Below are 14,540 nucleotides of genomic sequence, written 5' to 3' on the forward strand. Positions count from 1 at the left end.
TAAAGTGAAAATAATGTCTAAACTTGTCTCCTGGATGTTATGCCAAGTTTGGGATCTCCGTCAAGCCAACACCCTCTATTCATAAAAGTGTTTTCACTGGAAATGCATGGGCTGGCCTTCAGTTGTGTTTGTGGTATTTAAACTTACAGCTCCTGACCATGTCTGATGGGACAAGGGGTGAAAACATGAGTTTAAAGAAATCAATCCACAGGCTAACCATATCAGTTGGGATCCTGGCAAGAAATAGAAGGCATTTACAAACTTGGATAATGAGAAGAGTTTAATAATGTGTAGGCAGACATCAAGAAAACCAGTAAATTTGTACAGCAATCTCAGGCTAGCAAGGGCTAGGAGCTGTTACCACCCCTTGATCTAAAGTGTAAGAGGAGGAAGAAGTTGCTTGAACTCAAAGAGAGTAGTTTCATAGAAAGGGCTACCTGACAGAAAGAACTACTTTTGGTGGAGTGAGGTGGCCAATTCGTGGCAGGCCACCAGAGAATGAGCTTAGAGAATATATAATGCAACCTCATTCTTCTCCACCCTCTCATCCCTTACCAGTGCCTCTCATTGGCTAGGCCCAACCAAAGGACAGAATGCAAAGAAGCCACCAGCATAGCCCATACAGGCCAACTTGGTGAAGCACAGAGCAGGATGGAGCGTGGCCTGGGGAAGGAAAGTGGATCTGGAGGGATAAACTGTAATGTCCATCAGAGCCTACTTCTTCCACCATTCAGCCTTCATGCTTGAGCTTTCTCCAGTGAAAAATTCCTCTCTCCAACAGGACAGATGCACAAAATTCCATCAGCAATTCTGTTATGTGAGATATATAATATGATAAAGTTATTTAACAGCAGTGATCTGCAAAGAAGGTAGCAGAAGAAAATGAGAAAGTAATTAGCATAAAATGTAGCTGCTACAGTCCTTGTTTCAATAACTGGTCACGAGGCCCAAGTTGTTATTCATAGTTTCCTTACTCCATGTACATTCTATGTTTCTCTTACTCTTTACCAACATGTCATCTGGTTGGAGTTCTTTACATTGTGAGGTGATCCCAACCATCATTACTATAGGATCTGAGTCGTTGGTGGTCCTGTCTATACTGGGTTGCTCCAATTTTCCATTGACCAAGACTGAAGTACTAAAAGGCTCTCCAATATATCTACTGGGTTCCGGACATAGTGTTTCTTGCCCACACTGCATAGCAGCAACCCAGTTTCCCTTTAGGAAATCAATACTGGTGATTCTAGAAAGTACAGTGACCCCTAGCTGTTAGTTCTCTGGCATGTGAAGACCTGAATGATCAGTAAGTAATTTCAGCACCCAATCTAATGGAAACACTACTTTGTTCCCTGGTGGAAGCATTCTTCCATTGGCTAATAATAGGATCTCCAAACCCACTGAGACTAAGATTATAGAGGTGAGTTGCTAAAAGAGTGTATCATCATCAGACCTACACTATAAGAAATATTAGAGGAAGTACCTAGGGAAGAAGAAAAATAATACTAGATGGAAATATGGATCTACACAAAGGAATGTGGAACACCAGAAATGGCAAGTATATGCATAAATATAAGAGTTTTTAAACATATTTAATCTCTTAAAAAGGTATTTTTAGGCCAGGCTTGGGGGTTCATACCTGTGATCCCAACACTTTGGGAGTCTAAGGCGGCCAGATCACTTGAGACCAGGAGTTTGAGACCAGCCTGGCCAACATGGCAAAACCTCATCTCTATCAAAAATACAAAAGTTAGCTTGACGTTGTGGCACATGCCTGTAATCCCAGCTACTCAGGTCGCTGAAACATGAGAATCACTTGAACCCAAAAGGCAGAGGTTGCAGTGAGCCGAGATTATACACTGCGCTCTGGCCTGGACAACAGAGAAAGGCTTTGTCTCAAAAAAAGAAAAGGCATTTTTTAAGCAAAAATAATAATGTTATATGAAATGCATGACAATAATACTACAAAGGCCAGAGGCAAGAAATTAAAGTAACTGCAGTAAGGTTATTTTGCTATGGATGGAGTGATACAATATTGCTTGAATGTAGACTGTGATAATTTTAAAATGTAAAACATAAGTCCTAAAACAACCACTAAAACACAAACACAAAATGTTGTACCTATTAAGCAACAAAGGAGCTAAACTAAAATAATAAAGGAAGGCTGAAAAAATCCAAAAGAAAACAGAAAATAGAGATAAAAGGATAAAATAGAATAATTTTTAAAACATACAATAAACCCAAAAGAAGGCAGAAAATGAGGAACAGAACAGATTGGGACAAAAATAAAGCAATTAGAAATTTGATATGGTCCATCCATAATAATCATATTAAATATAAATGGTCTAAACACCCCATTTAAAAGGCAAAAATGTTCAGTTTGTATTGAAAAGCAAGACCACCATGTCTATCTTAACATCATGTGAAAGGAGAATTCAGAGTAAAGAATATTATTGGGGATAAAGAGGGTCATTTCATAATGATAGAGGTCAATTAATCAAGAAGATATAACATTTATGCAAATAACAACAGAATTTCAAAATACATGATGCAAAGGTTTGATAGAATTACAAGGAGAAAGAGAAAAATCCACAATTACAATCAGAGATATCAACCACTGTCAGTAATTAACAGAAAAAGTAGACAGAAACTCATCAAGGACAGAGAAGACTTGAACAACACTATCAGCCAACTTGGCCCAACTAGCATTTATGGAACATGCCTCTTCATAATAGCCAAATATACACTATTTTAAAGAGCACATGGAATATTTACCAAGATGGACCATATTCTGGGTCATAAAACAAGTCACAATAAATTTAAAAGTATTCAAATCACCCAAAGTATATTTTATGGCAATGAAATTAAATTAGAAATAAATAACAAGAAGATATCTGGAAAAACCCCAAATACTTAGAAACTAAATCACACACTTTTAAATAACTAAATAACTCATGGGTCAGAGAGGAAATCAAAAGGAAAATCAGGAAGTATTTTGAACTTCTGCTTATTATAAAACAGAGTTAGCAAAATGAAAAGCAAGCTACAAAATGAATGTTGATAAGACATATATCTGATAAAGGACTGCAATCCAGAACATAAAAATAATTCCTTTAAATCAATAATAAAAGGACAAACAACCCAATTAAAAATAGGCAAGAGACTTCAATGAGGAACTAACCAAAGGAGTTATCTGTATGACTAATAAACACATGAAAAGTTGTTGTACATCATTAAGCATCAGCAAAAAGCAAGCTAAAACTAAGCAACATGCCACCAAATACCCATTAGAATGGCTAAAAGTAAAAAAGACTAACAATATGAAGTGTTAGCAGGAGATGGAGTAACTGGAACTGTTATACATTAATGATAGATGTGTATAATGGCATGCCCATTTGAATAAATGGTCAGAAATTTTTAATAAAGTTAACATGACCTAGCAATATGTACATATCCAAAATAAATGAGTAGTCACCATCAAAAGTCTTATACAAGAATGTTCATAGTCACTTCATTCATATAGCCCAAATCTGAAAAGAACCCAAATGTTCATGTACAGGTGAATGAATAAACAAATTCTGGATATTCTACTGAGGAAAAAAAAAAAGGCAAAACTACTGGTGCATGAAACAACAGGCATAAGCCTTAGAAACATTATGTTGGGTCATTAAAGACAGATCCAAAGGAGCCAAATTGCATAATATCGTTTATATAGAATTCAGAATAGGAAAAACTAATTTAAGTGGATGAAAGTCAGAAGAATTATTTGGTGGAGGGTGGCTTGTTAACTGGAAAGGAGCATGCATGAGGAAACTTACTGGGGTGATGAAAATATTTTATATCTTGATCTGGGAGTAGTTATATTGATGTAAATATATGTAAAAATTCATCAAGCTGTACATTTAAGATTAGTGCATTGTATTTTACATAAATTATGCATCAATTTTAAAAGAACTATAACATATGAACAGATTGCTGGGGCCCTCCCAGGATCTTGGAAGAGACTTGTGCAAGATGATCAATTCCAAAATCGAGTTCAAGGTAAAGTGGTAAGATTAAAACTAAACTAATGAACAAATTCACCAAGGTTTTGGGATACAAGATCAATATATAAAAGTCAATTCTATCACTATACAATAACAATGAACAATTTGAAAATAAAATTAAGAAAATAATTTCATGTATAGTTGCATCAAAAAGAATAAAATACTTCAGAATTCATTTAACAAAAGAAGCGCAAGACTTTTATGCTGAAAACTACAAAAACATTGTTGAAAGAAATTAAAGACCTAAATAAATAGAAAAAAGACCTACATTCATGGATAAGAATAATTAATATTGCTAGGGTGGGAATGCTTCTCAAATTAATCTATGGAATCAAGATAATCCCTATCAAAATCCCACTTGATTTCTTTGCAGAAATTGACAAGCTGATTCTAAAATTCCTCTGGAATTGCAAGGCACTGAAAATAGCCAAAAACAATCTTGAAAAAGAAAAACAAAGTTAACGGACTCACATTTTCCAATTTCAAAACTGTAGCTTATTGCAAAGCTACAGTAATCGAGAGAGTCTTGTACTGGCATAATAATAGATGTATAGACCAATAGAATAGAATTGAGAGTCCAGAAGCAAACCCTTAATCAGCTGATTTTAGATAGGGGTCCTAAGATCTTTTTCAGTGGACAAAGAATAGTCCCTTTAACAAATGGTGCTAGGGCAATTGGATATCCACATACAAAAAATCAAGTTGGGCCTTTTTCTCATACTGTACACAAAAATGAACTACAAATGGGCCACAGACCTAAGTGAAAGAGCTAAAAACCATAAAATTCTTAAAAGAAAATGAGAAACAAATCTTCATGACCTTGGGATAGGGAACATTAGCTTAGATATAATACCAAAAGCATAAGCAACAAGAGAAAAATAGATGAATGAGATCATCAAAATTAAAAACTTTTGTACCTCAGAAAACACCATCAAGAAGTGAGAAAACTCACAGAATGGGAGAAAATAATTCCACATCAGTTATCTGATATGGGATGCATATCTGGAATATATTCAAAACACTTACAACTCAATAATAAAAAGACAAATAACTCAATTTAAAAATAGGCAGCAAAGAATCTGAGTAGACATTTCTCCAAAGAAGATAGACAAAAATTTGACAATCACAGGAAAAATACTCAACATTATTAGTCATTAGGGAAATATGAAAATACATTAAAACCATTGAATTGTGCACTTTGAACCAATGGATTTTGTGATACCTTAATTTTATCTCAATAAAGGTTTTGAAAAAACCCTTAGAAATAATTCCTGAAATATTTATGGATAAAGCAACATGCTGTCAGGAATCTGCCATAAAATAATCTGGAAGCAATGAGAAAAGAGTAGGTTATAAGTGAAATAAGGTGGGACATGAATTAATCATTATTCTTGAAGCTAGATGATAGATACACCATAGTTATACTATTTCCTCAATTTTCAGATATGCTTGAAATTTCCCATAATAAGAAGTTAAAAATATATACTTAGGAAATCCCAAGGTGTACACAAAAACTTCTGCATGAATGTCCGTAGCAGCATTCTTCATAATATCCAAAAAATGGAAACAACCCAAATGTCCATCAACTAATGAAGATAAATAAAATGTGGCATATGCATGTAATGAAATATTATCTGTCCATAAAAAGGAATGAAATTCTAGTAAATCCTACCACATGGATGAACCTTGAAAGTATTATGCTAAGTGAAAGAAGTCAGACACAAAAAGCCATATCTTGTATGATTCCATTTATATAAAGTGTCCAGAAGAGGCAAATCCATAGAGATAGAAAGCAGATTAGTGGTTGCTTAGGGATTGGTGGAAATGTTCATGTGTTTACCATTCACTCATTAAATAATTGATGATTAAGACAATGAGTTCCTGAACAATGTTGAGGAACTGCACCTCCTCTGATAAATCCTGGTAGGCTTCCTGGAGGAGTTAGGGGACAAATAATAGACTCTGCTACAACACTGATGCTGGAAATCCTTAAAAAGGTGGGGACATTGTGTTGATGAACAACCCTGGGAGGCCTCTAGGAGGAGGAAGACTAGCATTGCTTGAGATTGCAGGAATCATAGGTTGGCTACAAAGGCAAGTTGATGCCAAGTCAAGGAATTTCCTAGCAAGGTTACCAACCAAGGGCAGAGCATCCTAAGAAAGTGGGCATAGGGCATGTGGAGGCAATTATAATTCCTCCTTTTGACACAAATGTGGACTAATATCATTTATGACACAAACATCACCAACAATCAATCATGAGTCTTGGATGAACATTCCATTTGTTCTAGCACTATGCTAGTTTGGCGAGGGAGCAGGTGGAGTCGTCAGATACAGAGGAAAGAGCTGCCAATGACCAGAGGAAAAGTGAATAATCATAACTGACATTTACCAAGCATTTGGTATGTCCCAGGCACTGCACTGAGGACTAGAAATGTTTTAATTCCTTTAATCCTCACAATGACCCTATGAGGGACATATTACTACTTTTTATACATGAAGCAAATGAGCTTAAAGGGGATAAATGACTTGACCAAAGGCATGTAGCAGTGGAGCCATGATCTGCAACCAGTGTCCAACACCTGAAATTTTATTTTTAATCCCTACACTCTATGGTCTCAGGGCAACATCAAGAGCAGAGGTGATTAAATATAGAGATCACCTGTTCTAAAAATGCTAATTTCATATAGGAAGGGAAAGTTGAAGTGAAGGTCAACGAGGCAAAATGAGTTACGCAAAAGGTATGTGAAACATAAATGTAAGGTGGGCTTCAGTTCATTATGACCATGGTGGGAAAGGAAATTTGGAACTGAATCTGCGCTCTACATTGCAAAACAAGCATATGCCGTCAGATGAAGTAAAACCAAAGTGCAATCTACCACGAATCACTGTAATTGGCCAAATAGAGTACATTCCATACGAATAAATTATTTATGAATCATTAGTGTGAATGAGTAGGTAATGGTGCATGCTGCTGGACCAGTCAGGAGTTAGAAAATAAAATATAATCATCATTGCTTACATTCATATCCAATTCCAACTGCGTTGAAGCTCATTAGACTAATACTATAGTTTCAAATATAACAGTGCAAGCTTTTCGGAAGATTTAGCTCTAACTTTTATGGAGCCAGAGCGAACTAGGGCAATAAAGCATTCTTTAGCATGGAACACCAAACATTTCTTGGGAGGGAAAACAGATTTCTATTGGCCACAGATTGGCAATGATTATCAGGACAAAGATTCATCAAAGGACAGGTCTGCTCAGTTTGGAAGGAACAGTATTATCGTGGTGGGCTCACTATAAACTCCCATGCTAAAATTTACCAGGGCCCAGAGCTGTTGAAGCTGCATGTGCTTAGTTGATATTGCACCCCAGGAAAAGGCTCCCAACTACTTTTGAGAGTGCCACAGACTGCTGAATTTTCTTCCACTCGTTACCTTCCGTATCCCTAAGACCTGTCTCTCAGAGCTCAACATCAGGTGTTTTAGAAGAGGAATGGAAATAACTGTGCAAGATATAGTTCCAAGCCTTAGTAAGTGTTCAATATCCTTGCTGAAATATAACTAATATGCATGAAACAGAGAACCAGAATATCAAGAATATAATTATATAAAGTACATAATTGAGTGATGAATGTGTTATAGGTTTTAGAAAAAGGAGAAATTAATGTGGACTACCATGATTAATGAAGATTTGACAAGAAAGACTGGACCTAGAAGGATTTAAACAAGTGAAGGCAAAAGTGCATGTACCAGGTCTTATATATTTTAGTGCTTCATGTTTTCCCATTTGAAAAATAATGGAGGTTCCACTTACTGTGTCTCACAGCTGTACATTAGCTAATGGGGGATAATGATCAAGATCCTTGAGATGAAGAGGCTGGGATGCAGAGATATCTGAAGAAGAGGACTTATCTTGTCACCCAAATAGAAAAGGCAGCAAAAGTGGGGGAATAGGCATCAAAACTCAATCAATTGCTTCCTTTAATGTAGCCTGGATTTGCCCAATGGCAAAATATCAAATGTGTACTGTATGATGTTTTTCTAGCATTTTCCTGGCCAGAACTTATATGGCTCCCCTCTCACATAATTCTTATTCTTTGGCAAACCTTGAAATCTTCAACAAGATCAAGAAATTAAATAGTGCTTCCTATGTGCCAGAGACTATTTCAAGAGCTTTAGAAACATATTGATATACTTAATCCTCTCTTTAAAAATTCTATATAATAAGTGCTATTATTATCATTTTACCAATTTTTACTGGTAAGGAAACTGAAGAAAAAGAAGCAGTGATATGGACTGAATGTTTCTGTCCCCCTGTCCTGCCCCCAATGTATATGCTGAAGCCCTAATCTCTTTTTTAAAAAAAATTATTTCCCTAGGTTTTTGGGGGAACAGGTGGTGTTTGGATACATGAGTAAGTTCTTTAGTGGGGATTTGTGAGTTTTTGGTGCACTCATAACCGAAGCAGTATACACTGCACCCAATTTGTAGTCCTTTATCCCTCACCCCCTCCCAACAATTTTCCCCTGATTCCCCAAAGTCCATTATGTCATTCTTATGCCTTTGCATCCTCACAGCTTAGCTCCCACTTATGAATGAGAACATACGATGTTTGGTTTTCCATTCCTGAGTTACTTCACTTAGAAATAACTCTCAGTCTCCAATCTCATCTAGGTTACTGCAAATGCCATTAATTCTTCCCTTTTTATGGCAGAGTAGTATTCCATTGATATGTTTTGGCTGTGTCCCCAACCAAATCTCGTCTTGAATTGTACTCCCATAATTCCCATGTGTTGTGGGAGGGACTCAGTGGGAGATCATTTGAATCACGGGGGCAGTTTCTCCCATACTGTTCTTGTGATAGTGAATAAGTCTCATGAGATCTGATGGTTTTATCAGGGGTTTCTGATTTTGCATCTTTCTCACTTTTTCTTGCCACCACTATGTAAGAAGTGCCTTTTGCATCCCACCATGATTCTGAGGCCTCCCCAGTCATGTGGAACTGTAAGTCCAACTAAACCTCTTTTTCTTCCCAGTCTCAGATATGTCTTTATCAGCAGCATGAAAATGGGCTAATACAGTAAATTGATACCAGGAGCAGGGTGCTATTGAAAAGATACCTGAAAATGTGGAAGTGACTTTGGAACTGGGTAACAGGCAGAGGTTGAAACAGTTTGGAGGGCTCAGAAGAAGACAGGAAAATGTGGGGAAGTTTGGAACTTCCTAGAGACTTGTTGAATGGCTTTTGCCAAAAGCCTGATAGTGATATGGACAATAAGGTCCAGGCTGAGGTGGTCTCAGATGGAGATGAGGAACTTGTTGGGAACTGGAGCAAAGACGACTCTTGTTATGTTTTAGCAAAGAGACTGGCAGCATTTTTCCCCTGCCCTGGAGACTTGTGGAGCTTTGAACTTGAGAGAGATGATTTACAGTATCTGGCAGAAGAAATTTCTAAGCAGCAAGGCATTCAAGAGGTGAGTTGGATACTGTTAAAGGTATTCAATGTCATAACAGAAGCAGAGCATAAAAGTTCAGAAATTTTGCAGCCTGACAATGTGATTGAAAAGAAAACCCCATTTTCTTAGGAGAAATTCAAGCCAGTTGCAGAAATTTGCATAAGTAACAAGGAGCCAAATGTTAATCCCCAAGACAATGGGGGAAAATATCTCCAGGACATGTCAGAGGTCTTCACAGAAGCCCATTCAGTCACAGGCCCAGAGGCCTAGGAGAAAATGGTTTTGTGGGCTGGGCCCAGGGTCCCTGTGCTGTGTGCAGCCTAAGGACTTGGTGCCTTGCATCCCAATTGCTCCAGCCTTGGCTGAAAGGGGCCGATGCAGAGCTTTGGCCGTGGCTTCAGAGGGTGCAAGCCCTAAACCTTGGCAGCTCCCACATGTTGAGCCTGTGAGTGCACAGAAGTCGAGAACTGGAGTTTGGGAACCTCCACATAGATTTCAGAAAATGTATGGAAACCTCTGGATGTCCAGGCAGAAGTTTGCTACAGGGGTGGGGCACTCATGGAGAACCTCTGCTAGGGCAGTGCAGAAGGGAAGTGTGGGTTGGAGCCCACACACAGAGTTCATGCTGGAGCACTGGCCAGTGGAGCTGTGAGAAGAGGGCCACCATCATCCAGACCCCAGAATGGTATCTCCACCGACAGCTTGCACCATTCACCTGGAGAAGCTGCAGACATTCAATGTCATCCTGTGAAAGCAGCTGGGAGGGAGGTTGTACTTTGCAAAGCCACAGGGGTGGAGCTGCCTAAGACCATGGGAACCCATCTCTTGTATCAGCGTGACCTAGATGTGAGACCTGGAGTAAAAGGAGATCATTTTGGAGCTTTAAAATTTGACTGCCCCACTGGATTTTGGACTTGCATGGGCCTTGTAACCCCTTTGTTTTGGCAAATTTCTCCCATTTGGAATGGCTGTATTTACCAAATACCTGTACTCCCGTTGTATCTAGGAAGTAACTAGCTTGCTTTTGATTTTACAGGCTCATAGTCAGAAAGGACTTGGCTTGTCTCAGATGAGACTTTGGACTGTGGACTTTTGGGTTAATGCTGAAATTGGTTGGGACTTTGGGGGACTATTGGGAAGGCATGATTGGTTTTGAAATGTGAGGACATGAGATTTGGAGGTCAGGGGTTGAATGATATGGTTTGGCTGTATCTCCACCCAAATGTTATCTTGAACTGTACTCCCGTAATTCCCAAGTGTTGTGGGAGGGACCCAGTGGGAGATAATTTGAATCATGGGGGCAGTTTCCCCCATACTGTTCTTATGGTAGTGAATAAGCCTCATGAGATCTGATGGTTTTATCAGAGGTTTCTGCTTTTGCATCTTCCTCATTTTCTCTTGCTGTCACCACATAAGAAGTGCCTTTTGCCTCCCACCATGATTCTGAGGCCTCCCCAGCCATGTGGAACTGTAAGTCCGATTAAACCTCTTTTTCTTTCCAGTCTCAGGTATGTCTTTATCAGCAGTGTGAAAACAGACTAATATATCCATCATGTGTCACAGTTTCTTTATCCACTCCTTGATTGATGGGCATTTGGTTTGGTTCCACATTTTTGCAATTGTGAATTGTGCTGCTATAAACTTGAGTGTGCAAGTATCTTTTTCGTGTAATGACTTATTTTCCTCTGGGTAGATACCCAGGAGTGGGATTTCTGGATCAAATGATAGACATACTTTTAGTTTTTAAAGGAATCTCCACACTATTTTCCACAGCGGTTGTACTAGTTTACATTCCCACCAGCAGTAGAGAACTGTTCCCTGTTCACCATATCTATGCCAACATCTATTATTTTTTGATTTTTTGATTATGGCCATTCTTGCAGGAATAAGGTGGTATTGCATTGTGGTTTTGATTTGCATTTCCTTGATCATTAGTGATGTTGAACATTTTTTTATGTTTGTTGGCCATTTGTATATCTTCTTTTGAGAATTGTCTATTCATGTCCTTAGCCCACTTTTTGATGGTATTGTTTGCTCTTTTTCTTGTGGATTTGTCTAAGTTCATTGTAGATCCTGGATATTAGTCCTTTGTCAGATGTATAGATTGTGAAGATTTTCTCCCACTCTGTAGGTTGTCTGCTTACTCCGCTGACTTTTCCTTTTGCCATGCAAAAGCTCTTCAGTTTAATTAAGTCCCAGCTATTTGTCTTTGTTATTGTTGCATTTGCTTTTGGGTTCTTGGTCATGAAATCCTTGCCTAAGCCAATGTCTAGAAGGGTTTTTCCGATGTTATCTTTCAGAATTTTTACAGTTTCAGGTCTTAGGTTTAAGTCCTTAATCCATCTTGAGTTGATTTTTGTAAAAGGTGAGAGATGAGGATCCAGTTTCATTCTCTTACATGTGGCTTGCCAATGATCCCAACACCATTTGTTGAATAGGGTGTCCTTCCCCCATTTTATGTTTTTGTTTGCTTTTTCAAAGATCAGTTGGCTGTAAGTATTTGGGTTTATTTCTGGGTTCTCTATTCTGTTCCATTGGTCTATGTCCCATTTTTATACCAGTACCATGCTGTTTCAGTGACTATGGCCTTATAGTATAGTTTGAAATCAGGTAATATGATGCTTCCAGATTTGTTCTTTTTGCTTAGTCTTGCTTTGGCTATGTGGGCTCTTTTTTGGTTCCATGTGAATTTTAGGATTGTTTCTTCTAGTTCTGAGAATGATGATGATATTTTGATGAGAATTGCATTAAATTTGTAGATTGCTTTTGGCAGTATGGTCATTTTCACAATATTGATTCTACAAATCCATCAGCATGGGATGTGTTTCCATTTGTTTGTGTCATCTATGATTTCTTTCAGCAGTGTTTTGTAGTTTTTTCCTTGTAGAGGTCTTTCACCTCTTTGGTTAGGTATATTCCTAAGTATTTTATGTATTTTTGCAGCTATTATAAAAGGGGTTGAGTTCTTGATTTGATTCTCAATCTGGTCACTGTTGGTGTATAGGAGAGCTACTAATTTGTGTACATTAATTTTTATTTGGAAACTTTGCTGAATTGTTTTATCAGTTCTAGGAGTTTTTTGGAGGAGTCTTTGGGGTTTTTTATGTATACTATCATATCATCAGCAAACAGCAACAGTTTGACTTCCTCTTTACCAATTTGGATGCCCTTTATTTCTTTCTCTTGTCTGATTGCTCTGGCTAGGACTTCCAGTACTATGTTGAAAAGAAGTGGTGAGAGTGGGAGAGTGGGCATCTTGTCTTGTTCCAGTTCTCAGAGGGAATGCTTTCAACTTTTCTCCATTTAATATTATGCTGGCTGTGGGTTTGTCATAGATGGCTTTTATTACATTGAAGTATGTCCCTTTTATGCCAATTTTGCTGAGAGTTATAATCATAAAGGGACGCTGGATTTTGTCAAATGCATTTGGACCTATTGAGATGATCATGTGATTTTTTTTAATTTCGTTTATGTGGTATATCACATTTATTGACTTGCATAAGTTAAACCTTCCCTGCATCCCTGGTATGAAATTCACTTGATAATGGCGGATTATCTTTTTGATGATATGTTGTTGGATTTGGTTAGCTAGTATTTTGTTAAGGATTTTTGCATCTATATTCATCTGGGATATTGGTCTGTAGGTCTGTAGTTTTATTTTTTGGTTATGTCCTTTCCTGGGTTTGGTATTAGGGTGATATTGGAAGCCATAAACTCACATGTGATGATATTTGGAGGTGGGGCCTTTGGGAAATGATTAGGTCATGAAGATGGAGGCCCTCATGCATCTGATTAGTGCCTTTATAAGAAGAGACACGAGATTCTGGGAGATGGCCAAATAGGAACAGCTTCAGTCTACAGCTCCCACTGAGACCAATGCAAAAGAAGGGTGATTTCTGCATTTCCAACTGAGACCAGGAGACTCCCTTGGATGCCTACACCACCAGGGCCCTGGGTTTCAAGCACAAAACTGGGCAGCCACCTGAGCAGACACTGAGCAAGCTGCAGGAGTTTTTGGGTTTGTTTGTTTGTTTTCCCAGACTCCAGTGGTGCCTGGAACCCCAGCGAGACAGAACTGTTCACTCTCCTGAAAGGGGGCTGAAGCCAGGGAGCCAAGTGGTCTTGCTCAATGGGTCCCACCCCCACAGAGCCCAGCAAGCTAAGATCTACTGGCTGGAAATTCTTGCTGCCAGCACAGAATCTGAAGTTGACTTGGGACACTCGAGCTTGGTGGGATGGGCATCTGCCATTACTGAGGCTTGAGTAGGTGGTTTTCCCTTCACAGTGTAAACAAAGCCACTGGGAAGGTCAGACTGGGTGTGGAACCTACTGCAACGCAGCAAAGCCACTGTAGCCAGACTGCCTTTCTAGATTCCTCCTCTGAAAGAAAGGCAGCAGCCCCAGTCAGGGGCTTATAGATAAAACTCCCAACTCCCTGGGACAGAGCACCTGGGAGAAGGGGTGACTGTGGGTGCAGCTTCAGCAGACTTAAACATTCCTGCCTGCCAGCTCTGAAGAGAGCAGCAGATCTTTCAGCACAGTGCTTGAGCTCTGCTAAGGGGCAGACTGCCTCCTCAAGTGGGTCCCTGACCCCTGTGCCTCCTGACTGGGAGACACCCCAGCAGGGGTCAACAGATACCTCATACAGCAGAGCTCCGGCTGGCATCTATCTGGCAGGTGCCCCTCTGGGACAAAGCTTCCAGAGGAAGGAGCAGGCAGCAATCTTTGCTGTTCTGCAGCCTCTGCTGCTGATACCCAGGCAAACAGAGTCTGGAATGGACCTCCAGCAAACTCCAGCAGACCTGCAAAAGAGGGGCCTGACTGTTAGAAGGAAAACTAATGAATAGAAAGCAATAACATCAACATCAACAAAAAGGACGTCCACACAAAAACCCAGTCCAAAGGTCCTCAGCATCAAAGATCAAAGGTAGATAAATCCATGAAGATGAGGAAAAATCAGCACAAAAATGCTGAAAATTCCAAAAGCCAGAATGCCTCTTCTCCTCCAAAGGATCACAACTCCTCACCAGCAAGGGAA

The 14,540-nt window shown here is 39.0% G+C and overlaps 1 long non-coding RNA gene across 1 annotated transcript; it reads right to left on the minus strand.

Moving 5' to 3' along the window:
- Positions 1–262: 262 nt before the first annotated feature.
- Positions 263–14,179, minus strand: LOC124901269 (uncharacterized). The gene is made up of 2 exons (XR_007059481.1): positions 14,142–14,179; positions 263–810 (listed from the first exon to the last, which is right to left on the minus strand). It is a non-coding gene; the product is annotated as an uncharacterized LOC124901269 (long non-coding RNA).
- Positions 14,180–14,540: the final 361 nt, after the last annotated feature.

The sequence above is a fragment of the Homo sapiens genome, chromosome 6 (genome assembly GCF_000001405.40).
Source record: "Homo sapiens chromosome 6, GRCh38.p14 Primary Assembly".
Classification (NCBI taxonomy): Eukaryota; Metazoa; Chordata; class Mammalia; order Primates; family Hominidae; genus Homo; species Homo sapiens.